Genomic DNA, 23,749 nt, shown 5'->3' with positions numbered 1-23,749 from the left:
GGGGCTGGCTCCTCTGGTTGCCCCACTGGTGGACAAAGCTGTTTGGTGCCCAGGACACAGCGAGGGTTGGTGAGAGTGCAGGAATGGGCAAGGGCTCTCGAAACCCAGCATCGTGGCTCCTGCGGGACTCGGCAGACCCTCTGCCCCTGACAGGCGCTCCTTTCTGGCTCTTCCCTCGTTTGTCTCTGCTCAGTTGCTGTTACCTGTTACCCTCCTTTGTCACTGTTTCCCTCCTTTGTCTGAAATCTACAGACCCTTGAAGATGCAGCTCTCTACTACTAGGCTCTAGTAGAAAGAACTGCTATTTCCCGAGGACTAGGCACAAGGACTTGTACTCAGTTCTTAAATACGCTGCTCCTATACCCTCATAACCACCTGACTGTCCACACTTTAACGATACACAGCTGAAGCTTTGGTCTGATTCCAAAGCCTGTGCAAGAATGTTTGGTGTGATAAGGCCTGGATAGAGGCTCACACCTTCCTAAAGCCTAAGCCTGCCACACACTGGCTGGCACACAGGAAGCACCGGGTAAGAGTAGCTGCTGTTGCAGTGTTGTCAAGTGGGACCCTTTAAACCCAGTCTAAGATGTGTGTGGGTGTGCGGGAATGGGGAGAAGACAATGGGCATGGCCTCTTACCTGATCTTGGCCTTTGCAGGGCTGAATCCCTACCCTGGCATCCTGGTGAACAGCAAGTTCTATAAACTGGTGAAGGATGGATACCAAATGGCCCAGCCTGCATTTGCCCCAAAGAATATGTAAGCGAAGGGATCCCAGGGAGGGAAAAGGACACCCCAGGCTTTCGCTGGAAAGGGATGGAAGGCCGTGTGGCCCTGATCTTTCCCTGTCCAAAATGTTCCAGGGTCAGACTTTATCTCTCCCATAGTGGACACAACAAGCCCCTTTTGAGTTCAAGCTATGGGGGATGTTCTCAGAGAAGCAGCTGTTCACTAGGGCTGGTCCTAACCGACCACTTTTCCTTTTTTTTTTTTTTTTTTTTTGAGACAGCATCTTGCTCTGTAGCCCGGGCTGGAGCGCAGTGATGTGTGCAATCATAGCTCACTGCAGCCTCAATCTTCAGGGCTCAAGCAATCCTTTGGCCTCAGCCTCCCAAACAGCTGGGACTACAGGTGTGCACCACCAAGCCCAGCTATTTTTAAAAAATTTTTTAGTAGAGATGGGATCTCACTATGTTGTCCAGGCTGGTCTGGAACTCCTGGCCTTATGCAATCCTCCTGCATCAACCTCCCAAAGTGTTGGGATTACAGGAATGAGCCACTGCACCTGTCCCTAAACAGACTTTTAAGAGATCGTTATTACAGTTACCCTGAGGATACCAAAATGGCCTCATCTGTCAGAATGAGGGTGATGAGAGTACCCTTCTGCAAGGGTTACTGTGAGGATTAAATGGTAAAGCATGCCAAGGACTTGGCATAGGTTTTATACTAAACTTACTTTGACTGGGTTTGGGGACCTCTGCTGGGTAGGTCTCTCTAGGGGTGTGTGTTAATGGCCCCTGGACCCTAGGGAGCTGCCCATGGGCATCCTCTGTCCTATCTCCCAGATACAGCATCATGCAGGCCTGCTGGGCCTTGGAGCCCACCCACAGACCCACCTTCCAGCAGATCTGCTCCTTCCTTCAGGAGCAGGCCCAAGAGGACAGGAGAGAGCGGGTGAGTGGGGTGAGGCTTGGGGTGGGTGGCCGGTAAAGCACGTTGGGCTGGGCCTGATGGATCTGGACTGACAGTTTCTGGTCCCTCCCACCCTCAGGACTATACCAATCTGCCGAGCAGCAGCAGAAGCGGTGGCAGCGGCAGCAGCAGCAGTGAGCTGGAGGAGGAGAGCTCTAGTGAGCACCTGACCTGCTGCGAGCAAGGGGATATCGCCCAGCCCTTGCTGCAGCCCAACAACTATCAGTTCTGCTGAGGAGTTGACGACAGGGAGTACCACTCTCCCCTCCCACAAACTTCAACTCCTCCATGGATGGGGCGACACGGGGAGAACATACAAACTCTGCCTTCGGTCATTTCACTCAACAGCTCGGCCCAGCTCTGAAACTTGGGAAGGTGAGGGATTCAGGGGAGGTCAGAGGATCCCACTTCCTGAGCATGGGCCATCACTGCCAGTCAGGGGCTGGGGGCTGAGCCCTCACCCCCCCCTCCCCTACTGTTCTCATGGTGTTGGCCTCGTGTTTGCTATGCCAACTAGTAGAACCTTCTTTCCTAATCCCCTTATCTTCATGGAAATGGACTGACTTTATGCCTATGAAGTCCCCAGGAGCTACACTGATACTGAGAAAACCAGGCTCTTTGGGGCTAGACAGACTGGCAGAGAGTGAGATCTCCCTCTCTGAGAGGAGCAGCAGATGCTCACAGACCACACTCAGCTCAGGCCCCTTGGAGCAGGATGGCTCCTCTAAGAATCTCACAGGACCTCTTAGTCTCTGCCCTATACGCCGCCTTCACTCCACAGCCTCACCCCTCCCACCCCCATACTGGTACTGCTGTAATGAGCCAAGTGGCAGCTAAAAGTTGGGGGTGTTCTGCCCAGTCCCGTCATTCTGGGCTAGAAGGCAGGGGACCTTGGCATGTGGCTGGCCACACCAAGCAGGAAGCACAAACTCCCCCAAGCTGACTCATCCTAACTAACAGTCACGCCGTGGGATGTCTCTGTCCACATTAAACTAACAGCATTAATGCAGTCAGCCTCTGGTTCTTTGTGCCACATGAGTACCTGCAAATTCCCTGGAACGTCTTTCTTTCCTTCCCTCCTTCACATGAAGTGACGAGCTCACAGCTGTGGAGCTTGACCACACTGTGCCCCATACGATGTGCACGGAATTGACTCCTGCTACACCAAAACCAGATAATTTAATAAACTTTATTCTTGTTGGGGGAAGAGGGAGGGAAAAAAAGCCACCTACTCCACTCAATAAATTAACACATGGCCAATTCCCAGGCCCTAAACAAACCTTGGGCACTTGAGCCAGTCCTGCTGTTTCCTTATGGCCCAGTCTGCTTCCCCTTCATAGAAGGGAGTTTTTCCTACTGCTGCTAGGTTATGTCATGACCAGGGACCACATCCCCTCTGTGGAGAGGGTCCCAGGCCCAGAGAGGATATTGGCTGCAGCAGCAGTGGCCAGGGAAAGGAGGAAGGGGATGCTCTTCCTCAAAGCTTGGGGTGGAGAGGACAGTGCTGGAAGAGAGCTGTGGCTGACTGTTCCTCCCTCCTCAGCTTCCCCCAAATGTGGGTACAGGAAGAGCAAGAGAGAAATGCATCCCTCCTTCAGGGAGAATCAAGAGCCCAAAGGGACCCCTAGAGTTAATGAGGCCACCCAGGCCCCTAGTCAAAGGCAACAGGCTAAGCAATTCATCAGACTGAGGGGGCTGAAACCAGGGCTCCTCAGGGGTGGGAGAGACCTCAGCAGCCTTCCCACCTAGTGCTGGGGCTCACGCCTTAGCCCACCCAGGACCTCCACCCTGACCCACACCGCAGGCCCCACGGAACCCACCAGCTACGAGCCTTTCCCTCAGCCTCCCCTCCATTAAACATACCGTGTCCCCCAAGTGCTCTCTCGGGGCCAGAAGAGGTTTCCTGGTACCACTCCTGACCCCTGGAGGGTTGAGAACTGAGGACCCTGGGTCCCACCATGCTCAGGGAATGGAAGCTCTTTGGTCAGTCCCAGCAGTCAGAGGCCCTCCCCACAGGAGACCACTTCTGCAGGTCCCCTGGATAGCTCTGCCTCAGGCAAGGGCCTTACTATGGCTTGAGAGATGGTGTAGTCCCTGTACAACAGCCTGGCTTATTCTGCCACTGCGGCCACCTCCTCTTCCTCACCCTCCTCCTCTGTCTCTGTCTTGATCTGAGCAACCCCAAGGCGGTAGAGGGTGTCACGAATGACCACCTCACCAGGCTGGCAGCTCTGTACAATGTCATGGATCTGACGATTGACAATTTCGCGGCTGGTGAGGAAGTCCATGAGGCGGTTGTAGAGGTAATAGTGAGTGGCATTGTCGAAGGCAATGGGCCGCTGGCGGACACCGTTTGGTTTGCTGTCCACGATGGAGGCCAGGATGGTTGCGTAAGGTGCCAATTCAGGGCACAGGGCCAAGGAGTGGTGCCCAGCACTGGGGTCACCAGGATTGGGCTGTAGGCCTGCATGGACGATGCGCCGCGTGGCAGTCTTGGTGACTGGGTGCTGGATAGAGTGCTCAGTTTCTGTCATGTCCACAGTATAATGCTGGTCCAAGAGCTCTGGGCAGGACACACTCTAGAAGAGAAATGAGAATGCATTTTGATAAGAAGGAATGACTAAGGTGGAACCCATCTGGTGACGAGAACACTCTAGGCTCAGCCAGCCCTCTTTGAATCCTAACATCACCATGTACTGTGTCTCCTAGGCCAACCCCTGCCCGCCAGTGCCTCCATTTCCTCATGTGAGAACAGGGACAGTAACAGTGGCCACCTTCCAGAACAGATGTTGGATTACTTATGCTATTATTGCCCCCGGTCCATTCAGGCCAGTGGCTGCAGGGGAGCAGAAAGATCAGGCTCTGACTGAGGTTAAGACACTTTTCTGGAGTCCCCAGCATGCTCATGGAGCCAGTGAGCCCCAGGGAGTAATGACAATAATGACTCCTCCAAGGCAAAGCCAGAGGCCTTCACTTCCTATAATGCATCCTGGCTGGGGCACTCAACCTTTGTTATTCTTCCCTTCTTCCTAATTATCAGTTCTGACATCTATTTCAGCAAAGGCCAAAGGCTGGCCTGCTGGCCTTGGAGGGTACATGACTGGTGAGAAATACTGTCTGGTACAATATACCAAGACACAGAGACAAGGGCTCTGCCACTAATCTGCTGTGGGACCCGGAAAAGTCCATTTCCTCCTCTGGGCCTTAGCTTCCCCTTTTAATAAAAGGAGAGGGTTGGATAAGATGAGTGTTTTCTAAACCAGTGTATCTTCAGATCACAACAGGCATGCCATACAGTGTTATCCATGGTCAACTAAATGTAAGACATGGTGAATTAAACTAATCCAGGGCTGGCTGGGGCCTTTAATATGTCAGTGTGCACAATAACTCTCAAAGGTGGCAACTTTCTAGGCTTCTCTGGAAGGCAACCTCTTTTAACACAAGGTTTGGGATATCCTGGGCACACTAAGTGATATACTGTGGCCTCAAACAGAGGGCTTGGTCAGTAAAAACTTACGGAGTAGGCTGGGCGTGGTGGCTCATGCCTGTAATCCCAGCACTTTGACAGGCTGAGGCATGTGGATTGCTTGAGCCCAGGAGTTTGAGAACGGCCTGGGCAAAATGGCCAAACCCCATCTCTACTAAAACACAAAAATTAGCCAGGTGTGGTGGTGTGTGCCTGTAATCCCAGCTACTCGGGAGGCTGAGGCACGAGAACTGCTTGAACCTGGGAGGCAGAGGTTGCAGTGAGCCGAGATAACACCACTGCACTCCAGCCTGGGTGACAGAGCAAGACATGGTAGGCTTGAGGAGACATGGCAGTTCCTCAGGAGGTGACTCACCACAGGTGGCTCTGTGGGGCTAGAGAAACAGCCCTGGTTCCTCCCCCACATCTGGTTAGTCAGCTCTGGGTAGCAGAGGTCAGCACACAGGGCCACTGACGTGGCCATATCTACCACATAGACAGGCGGCCAGTGGCGGGAAGAGGCAAGCAGGTCCACATGGTCACGGGCACTCTCACCTCGCACAAGATACTTGGAGCCGCAGACCACCTGGGAGATGAAGGGTGGGGGGCGCAGGGTTAATTAGGAAGCCAGTCTGCAGAGAGTGTACAGTTCTCACTCGCTTCTTCCCAGGAAGATGAGCAATCAGCTTCAGGGCCGAAGCCATGGCCATCCTGCCAGAGCCCATGGCATGCTGCTCCCTTCCTACTTCTGTCCTTAAATGAAGTCACCAGCTCATCCTTGCCCTTCTGAGAGACAGCTGGGAGCATCCTGTCCTCAACTTAGGCTGAAAGGCACCTCAGAACATCTTTCAAAACCCCACTCTCTCCACATCACCTACCAGTTCACTATGCTAGCTACATAGCAGCAGCAGCAGCTAAGAGCTGGTTAAGAATGGAGATGCCTGGGCCCGAGGTCAAACCTAAGAAACTAAGGTCTCTGAAGTAGGGTCTAAGCATCTGTATTTTGAGCAAGCTCCCCACCAGACCCCAGTGGGCTTGTTGCCCAGATGGGAATCCACAATGTAGCCTAGTAAACACCTCCACTGACAGGGCCCCCCAAGCACCATTCCACAACTCTGGGTACACCCACTTGGCTGTCACCTCCAAGTGATGCCACTCCCATCACAGCCCCCAAGATCTACAGCTCTCCCCGTGCTGTCAGCTGCTTCTCATGAGATGATCCCCTGTCGCATGAACACAATTCCCTGAGCAGGCTCTGATCTGCCCAGAGTAGAAGCATTAAGCATCTCCTTCAGACACAGCTTCTGTTAAAGTAGTTGGGAACTGGATTCTCTTTTTACAGCTAGATCCCCCTGCTGACTCATGTGCTTCAGTGAAGGCTCTGATAAGCCACCTCTCTCCCATTCAGTACCTGTTAAGGGGGGGGGTTTCCGTTCCAAGATCTACCTGGGCCCACTCTGTCATCTAGTACATAACCTGTCCTGGAGCTAACCCAGTGCCACCTTGTCCATACCCTTCCACAGATTTCCCATTCAAAACCATCCAAAAGGTCCCTCATCAGTCAGAATAAAATACGAACTGTTACTCTGGCCTAGAGAGCTCTATGTGATCTGGCCCCCCGGGGGAGCCCTCCAACACCCCCTCCTCTCAGCTCACTCTGTCTCCCCACTCACGGCCTTGGTGGTCCCTTGGCTGTGACACTCCTTCCCTGGCTTACCAATGGGCTCCTCCCTATCCTGCAGGTCTCAGTCTTCTCTGCCACCTCAGACAGCAGGTTCCTCCCTGTTACTTTCTATCTTAGGCCCTTATCTAATTTCTTCAGAGCCAATGCCACAAGCTGTGGTGACTTTATTTCCCCACTAAAATATACGGTCAACTAGGGAGGAACGACATCTTTGTCATTCTTTATACAAGCTCGCCCTTATACCCTCAACAGCTGATGCCCAGGATGTGGTAGGGTGCTTAAAAAATACTGACAGAAGACCCAGCCTCCCTCCCTAGCCCAGGGGGTAGCACCTGACCCGTGGGCAGCTATGCCGGAGGTTGCCCAGTGACCTAAGTCTAGCCCCCCAAAACTGAGCTGGATCAGTCCCTGTATGGGAAGTTCAACATTAGCAAATTCACTCCAAGCTCCCCCTAGTTATTTTCTTACCTGATGGGGGCACACCTTGTAGATTTTACCACCTGTGAAGTGACGTGGGGGCCGTATAGCTCTAGCTCCATTCTGTACAGATTCGTAGAGGGCCAACAAGGAGAAGCAGAGCTGGTCCTGGAGTAGAAGGACAAGATTAAAAACATAAGGGCGAATGCTAAGGGACCACGGCTGGTGCTCAGCATCACACACTCACCCAACACCCAAAGCAAAAGAATAAACTGCCTGGGTCAGAGCGGGCCTTGGAGCCTCATCAGCCCAACCTCCTCTAGGTACAGGTAAGCAATCGGAGGCCCTGAAAGGATTAGGTCACAGACAAAGCCAGCCAGACTGCTGATCAAGCTGCCAGACTCTGAGGCCTGAGTCCTTTCACTTTTTACAGGGCAAAGAAACCATCAAAGGGGAGCTAACATTTGAATCTGATCTTGAAGGAAGCATAACATTTTCAACAGCACAGAAATATGAAAGGGAAAGTAAATAATGTATGAATAAAACACATAGACACATACACTATGTAACAGTAGGCATTTTCTAAGAGCTTGCATAGGTAGTAACCAGACACTGTGTAAAGTGCATTCCTTACAACAATCTCACAAGGTTAGTATTTTGGTTATTTCCATTTTACAAACAAGGAAAATGAAGCTCAAAATATAAAGCAGCTTATCCAAGGTCACACACAGTAAGGAGGAGAGCCAGGATTCCTGACCCCAGAGCCTAGGCTCACAACCTTCAACAGGAGGAACTGTTAGAGGCCAGGCCCCACATACATGTCACATCTAGCTGTTGACCATCTCCTAGGCATCCCTGACTGCCAGCACCTTGTGTCCAAGGCAGATGCCATCACAGATATTCATATCCCTGACCTAAAAAGTGGACCAATCAGCCTACTCCAGAAGCCCCGATATCCACCACTGCCCTTGACACTCACCTTGGAGTCTTCTGCCCCAAAGGGGATTCCACACTGCCTTAGCAGGTGCTGCAGCTTCTCTTCACTGTAGGAGCCAATCTCATCAAGCTTGCAGGTGCCCTCCTGGAGCAGCCTCACCAAGGCACTGCCACTGCCTGCAAGAGACAACAGTGCTGGTGGGAGGGTGCTGCCGCCAGTCACCAGAGGCCAAGGCTAGGCCCACAAAACAGCAAACAGTGGAAGCCAGCTCTGCACCAAGCCCTCCCCCAGTGCTGGCAGAGGTGGAACTCAAGTCAGGTCCACGCTTTCTGCAGATATTTGAAGTCTATTACAACTGGCTTTCTGCCCTGGAACATCTGAGTGAGATATCCTGCATACCGCCACTGAAAAAAACCCTAAAATAAGTCAGCTTTTAATCCAGTCTTCTAAGGTTTTTCAGAACCAAGACCTCAGATGCTTACCATGACTGCATCAATAAGAAAAGAACAGCAGCTCTCGGTTTAAAAGTGCCCTCTACACAACGTTCCTGAACCTGGCTAGCACAAGAGAACTATGTGGGGGCACCTTAAAAAAATAATCCCTGGGGGCCGGGTGCAGTGGCTCACACCTGTAATCCTAGCACTTTAGGAGGCCGAGGCAGGTGGATTATCTGAGGTCAGAAGTTCAAGACCAGCCTGACCAATATGGTGAAACCCCATCTCTTCTAAAAATACAAAAAATTAGCCAGGTGTGGTGGTGTGGTGGCGTGCGCCTATAGTCTCAGCAACTTGGGAGGCTGAGACAGGAGAACTGCTTGAACCCGGAAGGCAGAGTTGCAGTGAGCCCAGATCACAACACTGCACTCCAGCCTGGGCAACAGAGCAGGACTCCGTCTCAAAAAAAAAAAAGATGCCTGGGCCCTTAAAATATTAGCAGGAATATGAGGTGGACCTCAGTATCTTTTTATTTTTATTTATTTATTTATTTTGAGACGGAGTCTCGCTCTGTCGCCCAGGCTGGAGTGCAGTGGCGCGATCTCGGCTCACTGCAATCTCCGCCTCCCGGGTTCACGCCATTCTCCTGCCTCAGCCTCCTGAGTAGCTGGGACTACAGGCGCCCGCCACCATGCCCGGCTAATTTTTTGTGTTTTTAGTAGAGATGGTGTTTCACCGTGTTAGCCAGGATGGTCTCGATCTCCTGACCTCGTGATCCGCCCGCCTGGGCCTCCCAAAGTGCTGGGATTACAGGCGTGAGCCACCGTGCCCAGCCTCAATATCTAATATTAGGAAGCACTGTTTGAGAACCAGTGGATCACAACATATTAAGTGATTACAATATCAATTGAGTGGGTCATATCCAAAAATTCAAAAATGAAATAAGATAGAAAATAAAGAAAAATACTGTTTTGGGAATGTTGTTTCAGTTATACACACTTGCATATGTACGAATATCATTCTGCGTCATGACACAAAATGTATTTCTCACTATGGGTTACAGTTAAAAAAGGCGGCTATCACTCTAACCGCATTAGCTCACTTTATCTTCAGTGATCTAGGAAGTGGGTAGCTATTATCGCACCCTCTTTGTAAAAGAAGCAACAGTGGCTTAGGGCAATGATGGGACCTGACAGAGGGTCACACAGCTAAGTGGCAAAGCTGGGAATCAAACTCAAGCTGTTAGAAACCTATCCTCTTACCCGCTAGTCCAGGGTTTCTCAATGTCTAATCCATAAAACTAGCTGCAAAACCCTCTGGGAGGCCTGTTTTGAAGGCAGATTCCTTGGCCTGCCCCTACACTTGCTCAATGAAAACCTTTGGGGATGGAGCCTTATCAGCATTTTTTATAGGAGTTCTGCTACTCAGTGTGTGTATCCCAGAAGGCTGACAATGAGCTGTGCGCCCCTGCTATGTAAGATGGAGGACAGCTCTTCAAAACTCTGCACCACAACTTTAAACTCTAGGGGATTTTGACACGGGCTGTTATTATCTTTCTGAAAGGAGTCCTGCAGCGGGGCCTGGCCCTCTCGCTACCACTGTGCTATCTTGCCATGGACAATGTCCCAGACTCTTGACTGAGCCCTTTTTTGACCCCAGTCAGCCACCAGGTGGCCTTACCAGGTACTGGCTGCACATCCAGGTTTTTGTCTTTCTCAGTGTTGACGACCACAGCTCCTCTCATGAGTGGTGGGAAGAAGGGGGCAATAACAGACGCATCAAATTTGGTGATAGGGATGCTGGCAGGAAATGCCACCTGCTCAATCACCTCTGTCTCCATCGTGGCCCAAAAGTCCTCCACATTTACCTCATTAGAGCCCAGGAATTCAGGCCAGGTGAACTAGAAGGTCAGGATAAAGAAGGTCAAACTGTGGGAGTCACAGAACATCAGCAACACAACAGCCTACCCCGTCATTATACACACAGGGAAGCCAAGGCTTGGTGAAGGGAAGTCAGACAGCCAGGCACTGCCACAGGGCCTTGAATTTGACAGCTCTGTACCCACCTGCCTTTTGGTCACATTTCTTTCCCTCACACCATAGTACTCTCCCAGACATGAATAGTTCCTAAATCCCTTCTGTTTCTATACCTTTGTTTATGTCATTTTCCCTGTCTTACAAAGAAAGTGGAGCTACCATTTGAGTACCTGTTATGTGCCAGACACTTTGTAATGAACTACTAAAAAACAAGTCTGGGGATGGCTGAGGTGAGTATTCAAGCACTCGAAGAGACAGAACAATCACGTCAACACAGGTCTAGTTCCAAAGCCCAAACCCTTACTGCTGATACCAGGCTGGCAAGAACGAGCAGAATCCTATTGAGTAAAATTCCAGCCATTTTCCAAGGCCCTGTGGATTGCCGACATCCTCCCACACATCATCAGCACACAGCTATCTCCTCTACCCAGGGCAGCATTTACTTATCTCTTATAGACATCTATTAATAGCGCTTGTGCTACTCAATTTTTCTTCTTGCAATGCCCTCTTATATGGCTCTCAAAACGTGACCCGGATCCTAATACCTCAATCACAGTTGTATAGCTTACTTATTAGAAATGTAAAAACCTTGGCCACATCTTGAGCTGTATGAACTAAACTCCTAATTTTGCATTTAAAAAAGTTTCCTCAGAGGAATGGTTCTCAAAGGGTGGTCCTGGACAAGCAGCAAGAGTATCATCTGACAACTTGTTAGAAATGCAAATTCCTGGCCCCACTCCAGATCTCCTGAGTCAGAAATCCTGTGGGTGGGACCCAGCAAGCCCTCCACTGTAAAAAGTTGTGAGAACCACTGCCCTATGTAGTTCTTATACCCACTAAAGTCCAAGAACCACTGCTCCCCATAAAGGCTCCTCTCCTCACCTTATTCCTCTTTGTTTGCCACCTCACAGGGGTGCTTAGTGCATGCTCTGTGTAAATGGCACACCTAGGGGAATGAGGCCAGCTGAGTCTATCCTCTCCACAAGGAGCAAGGGAACAGGAAATGCCAACCCAGTACACAAACTAACCACAGGGTCCTCCTTTATACAACTCCGAGAGAGGGGCTGACAAGTCTCTTCATGGATAACAGCATATTTAAGTTTTGTTCAATAACTTCCTGTTTTAGTTCACAGACTTCAGGATACTCTCTCCCCACACATACCACACTACTCTCCACACACAAAACAAAGAAGTACCTCTATGAAAGAAGTACCTGGTACCACTGAAGGAAAGAGACAAGCAAACTGAGAGTGAAGGGAATGCTACTCCATTCTGGGACAGAGGAGCCTTGATTGGGACAGGACGGGTGCCAGGCAGGACTAGGAGATGGCACCTTTGCAGGGAGGTGGGCCTCTGTCTATTCTTGGAAACCATAAACTTGCTGTGGCCAGATATGATCAGAAGAAACAGAACTCAGAGTCGTAGGAGGTACTGGTGAGAATGGCAGTGCTTAGGGTGCAGACTCCACAGTCAGCGGCTGAGAAAGAGCAAGGTCAATCTCAGCCCCACCCTTCTCTGGCTGGGTGAGCTTGGGCAAGGCCCTTGGGCTTCAGTGCCTATGTCTATAAAAACCTCATGGGGTTGTAGGGAAAATTAAGTCATATAGTAAAGCACTTAGCACAGATTAAGAACTTGGCATAGTAATAAAATGCTCAATAAATCTTAGCTGCATTATTATTAACACTACTACTAGGCAAGCGGATTTGAATCAATCTGGAAACAGCCTCTAGATGAGATAACACAAACAAAATGGTTTAGTTGCCTGGTTTCTTACTTGGGAAGTAAAAGACAGGACTATGCATTCAACCCTTAATATGTCTAGTGGTCCTGCCAGAATACACCAAAGCTGTTCTCTACAGGTTCTGCACCTGCCTGATCAGTGAACACATGAGATGCAAGTCCAGTACCTGAAAGTCAGCTCATGTCCCAGGCTCTTGTTTACTATGGTAGAGTTCAGAGATGGAAACCTCACACTCCTATGCAACTACTGGCATATTCAAGGCGCAGTCCCTGCCTGTGAGTGTAGACCAGACCTCATAGCATGATCACAGGGAAAAGTAATCTATGGGATTTTTTTTTAAACCCTAAAGAAGGTTAAGGAAGATTTCCTACTGTTCTGTTTGCTAAAAGTTTTATCATAAATATGGGTGTAGAATCATACTGGACAACTTTTTTTTCCCCATACATTTAATGAAATTATCATATAGGGTTTCCCCTTTAATCGGTTAAGTAGTGAATTACATTAACATATTTCCTACTGCTGAAACAACCTTGCTTTCCTGTGTTTAACTTTGTCATGATGCATTACTGTGTTAGATCTGATTTGCTATTATTTTATTCAGACTTTCATCTATATTCATGAGTATATTCAGCCCCAATTTCTTCTCTTACATCAAATGTCTGATTTGGTTTCCAAAGTTATACAACCTTATATGATGAGTTGGGGAAACATGCCCACTTTTGTTACTTGCCTATGTTTGGAATAATATTTCTTGGATATTTGTTCTAATTAATCTATGAAGCCATCTGAGTTTGATGTTATTATTGTGTGAAAATTTTTCAGTTCAGAACCTAAGTTAGCTCAGGTCACTCTTTTCCTCCAACCCCTTCAGTGGCTCTCCATTTCACTCTGTGTAAGTCCTTAAAATAGCCCATGTTACCCTACATAGCGTCGGCCTCCTGCACTGTCTGGACCTCATACACCCCACCACTCCCTCCCTCCCTCCCACACTCTGAGCTGCACCACTGGTCTCCTTGCTGGTCCTCAATCATACCCAGCAAGCCTTCCTCAGACCCTGTTCGAGCTGTTCCCTCTGCCTGGAATATTCCTCCACAAAGCCACATGGGTTTCAGATCTCTACTCAAATGCTACTGTATCAGAGGGGCCTTCCCCCCTCACTGCCCTCTATAAAATACAAATGCCCTTTCCCATGACACTGTTCTCTCTCTCTTACCCAGCTTTACTGTGCTTCACAGCACTCACTACTCCTGGACAGATATTTGTTTCCTGTGTCCTCCAAACCAGAAAGTGAGCTCCATGAGGACAGAAACTTTGTTTAACTACTATCTCCCAGGTGTCTAAAACATGCATTTAGTTTATGTTCAATATATTTACTATATATATTTTTTGATACTTATTCACTGGATAAATACATTTTTCAAGTGAGTAACTGAATAAACAAATGCCTCCATTTCCATCTGGCATTCCCTAAATGAAATCTTGGGCTGTGGGAGGAAAAACTCACTTGCCTCACCTAGACAGGACTGGAGCTATCCACCCCCTGGGGATATCATATAGGAAGGGAGGTGCCAAAATGAGAAAATTCCGCAGGTCCCTCACGGTGGCTAAGAGGCACTTACCTCCACGCTCTTCAGTGCTAGCACATTCTCTTCACTCCTCTGAGCCATTTCCACTTTGGGGGCCACACCACAGATGCCACAGATCATGTCATTGTAGTCTCGGACAGTGAGGCACTCAAAGGCCCAATAGCCATTGCACAGCAGCTCCTGCAGCTGGCTCAGCTCCTCCGAGGTCAGAGTCTTCTCTGAAAGAAGAGCAAGAACACTGAGAAGGGCACAGAAAAAGACACTGAAGCCACTAGGGATGAGCCAGTGGGTAGTAAGTAGAGCAATTCTGCCAGACTGATTCACCTTAAAGAACACTCCAGTGTACTACCTACCCTGAGGGTCAGGGATCTGGCCTGCAAGTGCTCAGGTGGCAACCCAAAGAGCAATTCCCACTGGAGTGATAGCTGCCTTGTACTAAGTACTAGATGCTGTGCTGAAAGCTTTGGATATGTTATGTCATTAATCTCACCTCAATTTAATTCTTTATGAACGAGGAGCTATTATCCTCATTTTATAACTGGAGAAACAGAGGCACAAGAATAACTTGCTCAAAATCACACTGCAACAGTGGCAGAGCCAAGACTGAAACACAGGCCCATGTAACTCTAGTAGGCTCTACTCCATCTGTTCTCACAGCAGGTAAGGTAGAGGGGGATTGGAGCCTATAGGAATGGGATGGGAAAAGCACAAATAGGAGTAAAGAGGGCATGGAGGAAAAATATTCTAGACAGAAAGGATGGTCCTCACTCTTAGGTCTTGGCATGAGCCTTGGGACTGGAAGCAGATATCCAGGAGCTGTGTGGTCAGAATGAGTCTAACATGCAATGGGGCCAAGTCTCCCTATGACCAAAGAAGGTACTTCTACAAGTCACTCGTAATCTCTTGCTAAGGGTCCCTGGATGCACAAAAAGATTCATGCTTTCCAAAATTAGTTTGGCATTTGTAAAATTCAAAAGGAAGAGTGTATTAGGAAGTCAAGAATGTCTCCTTTTCAAAATAATCAGACTCTTCTTCAAAATGAGTCTTTTAACCAAATGCCATCACTGAAAATTCCGAGGGAGCTTAGGACTAACCTTGGGAAAGGGAAGAAAACAACTTTTACCTGTCTGCTCCTGCACCGACTTCAGAACAACATTGATGGACACTCTGGGGTCCTCTCCGAGCTTGATCTGATTTCTGATTGCAAAAAGCAAGTCCAGGCTTACCAGCAGCTTGTTCCCCACATTAAAGAGACCTGCAGGTTAAGAAGAGGCAACAAGGAAATTAATGTATCATACACAATGGCAAAAAATAGAATACACACCAGCTGGGTGCGGTGGCACGTGCCTGTAGTTGCAGGCACTTGGGAGGATGAGGCAGGAGGATCGCTTGAGCCCAGGAGTTGTCGACTAGCTTGGGTAACACAGTGAGAGACTCCATCTCAAAAAAACAAAACAGGCCAGGTATGGCCTGTAATCTCATGCCTGTAGTCTCAGCACTTTGGGAGACCTGTAGTCTCCCAAGGTGGGAGGATCGCTTGAGCCCAGGAGTTCAAGACCAGCCTGGACAACATAGCAAAGCCCCATCTCTATTTTATTCAAGTTATATATCTTGAAAAAGGCAAAACAAAAACCCCACAACTAAATGCCCATCAATAGGGAAAGGGTTAATTAATTTATGGTGAATTCATAAAATAGAAAGCATTAAAAAGAATAAAGTATTCCAACATGGAATCCATTTTTTTTTAAAAAGAAGTAGATCTAACTGTTCTGACGCAAAGTTGCCTATAATACATCATTAAACAAACAAACAAAAAATAATGAAATAGTACATATAGTAGATCTTTTTCCCCCAATAAAAAAAAGGAACACTTTCTTCCCACCCAGCTCAGTCCTCAGGACCAAAGGTATCACTCTTCCTTTACACCTCACACAACTTCACCTGGGGAAAGGCCAGGAGCATCCTTTAGCTCATGAATGTGTAAGGGGTACAACAAAGGCTATGAAATCACTCCAACACCAAATCCTGAAATGAATGAATCTGAGGAATTTAAGCGCAGTCAATTTAAGACAAATAAAAGTGGGTGATTTTATATGTGCACAAAACATAATGCACTAATCTGCACAAAAGCAAATTTTGGAGTATGTGTTCCCAGTGAAGAAGGGTAAGGAGAAGTGCAAAGGCTGAAACCACAAGGGAGAGCAAAGCTCTGGTCCCATACAAATATTTTTTAAAAAGCAAAAGTCATGACGCCCCCAGAAATCACCAGGTACAAATGTAAAAGACAACTGATATCACATTCTGACAGGCTAGAGGTAAAACTGAATAAATAGAGCGATAAACTGGGAGAAAACTGTCAACAAAAAAGACCAAAAGAAGAATGAAAACACAAAAGAAATTTACTATAGAAAAAAACCCATAAAGGATCATAAAAAGGACATATACTCTACCTACTACAAAGAAATACAACAAATTACCTGATTATACACAAGTTTTTACCTATAAAATTGATAAACTTAAAAAAATTATAATATTTACAAAAACAAAGTCAACAGACAAACTTAATTATACTTCTATACTAGCAATGAATAGCTAGAAATTGAACCATGTCATTTAGCACTGAAAAAAAAAAGTAAAATACTTATATGTAAGTCTACCAAAATATGGGCAGGACCTATATGCTGAAACTAGAAAAACTGACAACCTATTAAAATGGAGAGAAAGACTATGGACTGGAAGATTCAACATTGTTAGGCATGTCAAAATTTCCCAAATTGATGTGTACAGATTGAACACAATCCAATTAAAATTCAAGCAGGACTTTGTAGATATTGACAAGCTGACTCTACAGTTTATACGGAGACACACCTATTAGAATGGCTGAAAAACAAAAACAGATAATGCTAAGTACTGGCATGTAGAGCAAACTGTAACTTTTACCCATTGTGGGAAGGAATGCAAAATGGTACAGCCACTTTGGTAATGCAGTTTTCTTATAAAATTAAACACACACTTACCACATGACCCAGCAATCTGACTCCTAGGTATTTACCCAAGAGAAATGAAAACTTAGGTTCACACAAAAGCTGGTACACAAATATTTGTAGCAGCTCTATTTGTAACTGCCAAACACCGGTAGCAAACCAAATATCCTCCCATGGGGAACAGCTAAACAACCTGTGGTACATCCACACCACAGAAAACTACTCCACAATAAAAAGGAATAAATCACTGATAAACACAATATGGATGACTCTCAAAGGATTAACTTACTGAAAGAAGCCAGACTCAAAAGGCTACGTGCCATAATTGCTTTCACATGACATTCTGGGAAAGAGAACACTATATGGATAAAGATGAGATCAAACAGTTACCAGAGGTTGGGGGAGAGGGATGGGTTTAAATACAAAGGAACAGTAAAAGAGAATGTTTTGGGTGATAGACCTGTTCTATATATTGATTGTGAAGGTAGTTACACCACTTAGTGCATCTGTCAGAACTTATGGAACTTGGAGCAACACACTTAACTACATGTAAATTTTAAAATACATGTTGACTAAATAAATATATAATCCTGAGTACTAGCCTGGATAGACAACAGGGTAATAGGCACTTTTGTTAACTGTTGGCAAGAGCATAAAATAGTACAAACTCAATCTAATAATATAAGACATTAAAAACATGAATTCAAAATAAAGCACCATTAAGTTCTAAGACAAAGAGAATACATCAAAAATACACTTTCATCTTCAGCACTCAATTCTACAAACAAAACTTAGGATTCAACCAAAGTCTTAAAATGGCTGGTACACGGTGAGTGTTCCACAAATGCCTGATGTTGATGAATAATAGGGGAGGAAAGGGTAAATGTGCAGCAATTCCACTTCTGAGTATTTGTCCAAAAGACAAATTAGGGCTGTACACAAAGACTGAATCACAAAAGTGTAAACTGGAGCACCATACATCCCTATAAAAATGGTCATGTACTTCTCTACTTGCTGGCACAGGAAGATGCCCACAATGTACCCCTAAGTTTAAAAAGCACATTCCAAAACAACATCTAGCACAACCGTACTTTTGTTCAAAGAAAGACTATAAACCTATACATCCTATAATTTCTTATATTCTGCACAGATGAATAAACATTTCTGGAAGATTGATCACACTGTTAAATAAGTGTTTATCTCATGGCAGTAGCAATGCTCTTGATTTTTTGTTTCCTCTTTTTATTTGTCTGCATTTTCCAGCCCTTCCACAATGAAGATCTGTTATTTTAAAGATCCCAGTTGAGAGCTTCAACACTTGAGAGGTAAAAGTCATCTTGTGGGACTAAGACATTTAGGAAGAAGACTCCCCCTTCCTCAGAAGCCCCATCTGAGAAGGCCCAGTCCTCAAAGGGCCAGAGGTCTCATCCATAGAGGCAGTTCCCAAGCCTGCTTTGGGATGCTCTGAGGGAAGAGAAGGTTGGCACCCACCTGTGTAGATGTCTATGAAGCTGTGCAGGGCCAGACAATGGGGGTTCAGACACATCTTCACCTGGGCAGTCACTGTCTGCAGACGGCTGGCTGTCAGCAGCCAGCACTCCTGGGGCCCAGCCAGGGAGCTAGTACCAGAAACATCACCAACAAAAAAAAAGAAGGGAAAGAGACTTCTTTATGGAGTTCCAGGGCTCAGTGATCAATGGCAAATTCTCATTTGCTGGAGCTTAGGATTTTCTAGGTAGGTATTTCCACTTTGTTGGAATCTGTGGAATCATCCCTACAATTAATGTAACTCTGAATTTATTACATAATTTAACCAATCCCAATGAACTCCCAAACCTAAACATTGTGTGGGGCAGTCCAGATGTAAACTAAATCCTAATCTGGTGATAACTTTCAGGCATTTCAACAGAAATGATAATTACCAATTATTACTTTACTTTCAGCAATCAGAAAGTTAAAGGAAGCCTAAAAACGGCAGAGAATAACATCTTCACAGTTATAGTTTTAATGTTTTCTGAAGAAAAGAGCAGTATGAGCCAAATGGGATGGGGTAGCTAGGGGCAGAGTTAAGGGGTGCTTACTTTTGTCCCCCTTTGAATAATGGGCTGCTACAGAGAAGGCACTGCGTGGACGGAGACTCATAATAATTCGACCAAGAGGTTTGCTCGATGGTGACTGTCTCCTCACTCACGTTGGACAAGATAAGTCGAGAGCTGTTGAGTTCATGAATCAAGGCGAAGACCTCAGCCAGCTCTGACTCATTCTCAGGAATCTGCAGGACTTTGCGCAGCAGCTGCAGTGTGGACTGGCGCTGGATCTCCCTCTGGGCTGTGCTCAGGGGCTCTGTGGCATTCAGTACATCTGGGAGTGGTGAGCTCACCTCCTGGGAAGAGAGTGGATTGATCACCAAGCACTCAGAGCAGAAAGAGCCAGCTTCAGGCTAAAATAATAAAAGTCTGGGAGCAGCAGACAGATGGGGCCCATGACTGATAGGTGGCAAACCTAGGTTCCTAACCAGCTCAGCTAATAACTCACTGTGTGACTAAAGGCTGGTTATTTTTCTCTGTGGGGCTCAGTTTCTCTACAGGTTGAGCACCCCAATCCAAAATGCTCTGAAATCTGAAATTTTTTGACCACTGAGACAACATTCAAGGGATATGCTCATTAGACATCTCAGATTTTGAATCACTGGATTAGGGATGCTCAAGCAGTATGTATTCTGCAAATATTGCAAATTATGAAATAATCCAAAACACTTCTGGTATCAAGCACTTCAGATACAGGATAGTCAACCTGTATCAGTAAATGAGAGGATTATATACAACTCTTGGTAATGGATTCAACACTTAGCTCTCATTCATCAGGTATGGGGTTTAGAGGATAACAGACCCAGGTTTCAGTTCTGGATATGCCACTTAACAGCTGTGTATGTGGGACCCAAGGCAATTTACTTAATCTTTCTGAGTCTCAATTTCCTCATCTGTGAAATGGGGCATAAAAATAGTAATCTCTTAGAGCCATTATACAGATTAAGTAAGATATTATAAGTAAAGCACTTAGCACAATGCCTATGGTGCAATGAAGGCTCTATGAATGATAGTTTTGATACATAAACAAGTATCTGCACTGCTTAAAGTTATCTGTCTTTAATTCTCGGTGGCTTCTGGGTACAAGGTAATTTTGTATACCAGTCAGAGGCTTCCAGGAACAATGTTCTGAAATACTCATTAAAAATAGGTCTTTCTCAAGCAGGTCTCTCTTCAATGGAGCTTCTCCCTGATCCTTTTTGCCAAGGCAGCATAAATCACTCCCCGCTTTGTGTTCTCTGAGTGCACCCCTTGACTGCAGAATTCATCATCTGACAGCTGCTAAACCACCACCCTCCCCGCTTCAGTAAGGGTAGGATTCTGCTTATTTACTGATTCCCAACCAGCATGATGCCTGAGACACACATAAGATACTGATTCATATGTGATGGACATATTATACATGGCTCTGTAGAAGTTAAATGCTTAATGCTATAGTTTGGATGTTTACCGTCTCCAAATCTCATGTTGAAATGTGATCCCCAACGTTGGAGGCAGGTCCTAAAGGGAGGTACTTGGGTCAGGGGGGCAGATCCCTCATGAGTAGATTATCGTGGGGCAGGAGCAAGGGAGGTGGTGAATGAGTTTCGCTTCCTTTTTCTGTATGTGATCTCTATGCATGCTGGCTCCCCTTGCCTTCCACCATGAGTGGAGGCAGTCTGAGGCCCTCACCAAAAAAGATGTTGGTACTATGGTTCTTGTACAGACTGCCAAATTATGAGCCACATAAACCTCTTTGCTTTATAAATTGCCTAGCCTCAGGTATTCTTTTATAGCAACACAAAACAGACTAGGACACTTAATAAGGAGCTTTTTATTAACTCCGCATACCTATGACAACTTTCATTTGTAATAGCTTGGTTATCTTTCTCTCCCACTAGACTGTAAGCTCTTCAAGGGAAAGGGCCACGTCCTATTCATCTCTGAAAGCCTGGCCCATAGCAGGCATTCAATATAGGCTGGCTGAGAGAATTAATTAATCAGTGGCTACAGAAGAGCTGACTAACACTAGAATGAGCTGCCCCGAGAGGCTGTGTGTTCTCAGTCATGACTATGAAACCACAGCTGGAAGACCACTTGGCAGGAATACTGTCCCGTGACTCTCGCCAGAGATGAAGGATAGAAAGGACTAAAGACCATTCCATCTCAGAGATGTGAAAACATCTGGCTACCAGGGGGCTCCAAATGACAACACACAAGAAGATCCCTGTGGTTCTGACCAGTGCTTTATTTTCTGGAAAGCAGTAATTACACTGTATTTCTCCAAACTTTAGGAGATTGGAAAGTGATGGAAGGTCTGCAGATGAGGGTCCTGGGGGTGGGCAGTTCTCAGTTAACCAAATACAGATGGATATAAGTTTAAGAGTGGGATTTGAAATTGGCAAGAGGTCCCTAGATAATTTCCTATGTCACCTGAGAAGTTAAGTTCCTTCATCATCCTAGATCTAGAGAGTAACACCCACTTCCACTGCAAACCGCGCAAATAGCTAAAATGAACTGGAAGGAGAAAGGAATGCTCAGAGCTTCTACCTACACAGAACTCAATTCTATCTCCTAATTACAGATAGACACACTTTGTATATGTAAGCTCCAGGGTTAGAAGGTGCAGGAAAAACAGACATACCTGCCCTAGAAGAGATTGTGGTCTCATAGGGAGTTAAGAAAAGCAGTCAATATGGGGTGTGATCAATGCTATGGCAAGAAGAGCACTTTGAAACCCACTGAAAATCCGGGAAGAAAGCTTACTTCCAGCAGCAGGCATCCAGTGGAGCAAGAGAATCTGATGAAAGCTACGGACCCATTTTGCATGCAATTTCAGGGATTTATAAACTCCTTAAAACTCAATTATCAGTCTTCTCTAAGGCTCCTGTCTCTTAAGAGTAAAATGCCCAGATCTAATCTACCTTGCCCACCTTACTTTACCAATGGAGAAACTAAAGCTCGGGAGAGGGAAGCTTCCAACTCAGGGTCACTCCCAGCCCCAGTGTTTTTCCCACCAAGCCATTAGTGCCCACATACTTTGGTTCCACTTTCCTTTCTCACAAGGACAATAACCTCAGAACATCACCTCAAGCACGGAAACAGACTCTGGAGACCAGGGTGAGATTCATCATCAAAAAGGCCTCTCTCCATATACAAATAAACCTCTAAGCTTGAAGCAGTTCTCCCCACCTCTGTAGTCCTGTCTACTCCCAAACTCTCATCCCATAAATTCCCCTCTTGAAATAACTTTCCTCTAGGCCTCTCCCCGGCTCAAGGACATTCAGTAGGACCCCACTGACTAAAGAACAAACTGACAAGACCTTCCATGACATGGTTCCAAGATGCTTTTCACGTCTTATTTTCCGTAACACCCCTTCTCCCACCCCATGCCCCCACGCCATCTCCTCCAGCCAAATGGAACACTCTTCATGTTCACTCACACTTATCCTTATCACTCACACTTATCCTTATCCATACTCACACTTCATGTTCACTCACCAGACTACAGTCTAGTGGGAGAGACTTAAGTATGGCATGCCTTCCCCTTCCATTCAAAACCTGCCTGCCTTTCAAGGTCCAGCCTTGATCTGGAGTGACCAGGCTCCATCTCAGGTCCTGACCTGTTCTGTGTGCCATCCCCTCTTTCCCCAAGGCAGACCAGTGACATTTCTCTTCTCATCCTTATTTTAGTCCTTCCATTTGCTGCCTCAAGTGCCACCATTTTCTGTTCACTTTAAAAAACTCATATGGAAATTCTGGGGACCTCTGAAAATGCCCATTTTTCCTGGTAATAGTAATAATAATAATAGCAGCCCTAAGGAGCCAAGTGGAATGTATTTTACTACCCAAGTAGTTTGGCCCAACTTCAGAGAGGAGGGCTGCCTAGACTGCTAGAAATAAAGCTTTGATTAACTAAAAGCTTTCCAAGGAGCCTGAGAAAGCAGCGGTGGTCTAATCTGCAAAGTCTCAGGTTGGCATTCTCTATTTACCGAAACAGTAAATCAACTTACAGGTCTTGTATCAGGCCTCAGCGGTAAGAGGATGCAACCCTTTCGTCCCTCTCCTTTCACTCCTACTTAAGGCCTGTGCTACATCATTCTCTGCAGTGAGTGAACTCTTGGTTCTCAGAGATCAAGATACCTAGTCAACCCCTTCACCCTGGCAATGGGGACAAGGAGGCTCAGAGAAAAGGCGGCACTTGCTCAGGTTCAGAACCCACCAACTGGTTCAGTTTGGATGCTCTAACTACCACCATGTACTTTAAAAATCTTCTTATTTCTACTAAGACAGGTTCACTAACAGAGCCCAGAACAGGCCAGGGGATGTGTTTGGGGGAAGGAACTCACGATAGCCTTGGTGGTTTTCTCAGTCCGGTCTTTGGCAAGGTTAACACCACAGCTGGGACAAATTCGAGGTTTGTGCCTGTTGGTGTAGACATAGCTACAAGAGGGATTCTTGCACTTTCCCCGGCCTCTTGATGTAGCCAGGCCCAAATCCTAAAAAAGTAAGACCAGTGTTCAATTCTACAAAAATTAAGTTAAACCTGGGCAGAACCCAGAACCAGAATGAGCAGCTGCCAGTAAATCAGAGAAGAGAGTGGCAACTGCAAACCAGATTCAGCCTAACTTCAAGAGCCTTAACCTTTTCTGCAGTTAACTCTTTTACTTTTAATACAGGCTGTAAATTTTTGGCAAATCCAGTCCAG

At 46.6% G+C, this 23,749-nt stretch overlaps 2 protein-coding genes across 10 annotated transcripts in view, besides 2 other annotated features; one reads left to right on the top strand and one right to left on the bottom strand.

Moving 5' to 3' along the window:
- The window catches only part of CSF1R (colony stimulating factor 1 receptor), a 60,071-nt gene extending 57,372 nt beyond the window's left edge, over nt 1-2,699 (top strand). For all 7 annotated transcript variants that reach the window (NR_164679.1, NR_109969.2, NM_001375321.1 and 4 more), the window contains 3 exons: nt 658-757; nt 1,564-1,672; nt 1,770-2,699. Coding sequence is in view for 5 of the 7 variants with exons in the window: in NM_001375321.1 (NP_001362250.1) it covers nt 658-757; nt 1,564-1,672; nt 1,770-1,925 (365 nt within the window). In the remaining 2 variants the exon portion in view is untranslated. The remainder of the gene's footprint in view (nt 1-657; nt 758-1,563; nt 1,673-1,769) is intronic.
- HMGXB3 (HMG-box containing 3) overlaps nt 2,866-23,749 on the bottom strand; it is a 52,390-nt gene continuing 31,506 nt past the window's right edge. For 2 of the 3 annotated variants that reach the window (NM_014983.3, NM_001366501.2), the window contains 10 exons: nt 23,391-23,540; nt 19,057-19,358; nt 18,467-18,594; nt 15,115-15,246; nt 14,025-14,209; nt 10,309-10,528; nt 8,237-8,370; nt 7,309-7,425; nt 5,533-5,742; nt 2,866-4,269 (listed from right to left, as the gene is read on the bottom strand). In NM_014983.3, the coding sequence (NP_055798.3) occupies nt 3,802-4,269; nt 5,533-5,742; nt 7,309-7,425; nt 8,237-8,370; nt 10,309-10,528; nt 14,025-14,209; nt 15,115-15,246; nt 18,467-18,594; nt 19,057-19,358; nt 23,391-23,540 (2,046 nt within the window). In that variant the 3' untranslated portion in view covers nt 2,866-3,801. Of the gene's footprint in view, nt 4,270-5,532; nt 5,743-7,308; nt 7,426-8,236; nt 8,371-10,308; nt 10,529-14,024; nt 14,210-15,114; nt 15,247-18,466; nt 18,595-19,056; nt 19,359-23,390; nt 23,541-23,749 lie in introns of those variants that run through there. The other variant, XM_047416963.1, reaches the window with a different exon arrangement.
- Nucleotides 20,398-20,607: an enhancer, noted in NCBI's record as "active region_23396". NCBI's record gives its function as "activates an Ori minimal core promoter by ATAC-STARR-seq in GM12878 lymphoblastoid cells {active_cell/tissue: GM12878}" and the evidence as "EXISTENCE:reporter gene assay evidence [ECO:0000049][PMID:35858748]".
- Nucleotides 20,728-20,777: an enhancer, noted in NCBI's record as "active region_23395". NCBI's record gives its function as "activates an Ori minimal core promoter by ATAC-STARR-seq in GM12878 lymphoblastoid cells {active_cell/tissue: GM12878}" and the evidence as "EXISTENCE:reporter gene assay evidence [ECO:0000049][PMID:35858748]".

The sequence above is a fragment of the Homo sapiens genome, chromosome 5 (genome assembly GCF_000001405.40).
Source record: "Homo sapiens chromosome 5, GRCh38.p14 Primary Assembly".
Taxonomy (NCBI): Eukaryota; Metazoa; Chordata; class Mammalia; order Primates; family Hominidae; genus Homo; species Homo sapiens.
This window is presented reverse-complemented; position numbering and strand designations above follow the sequence as displayed.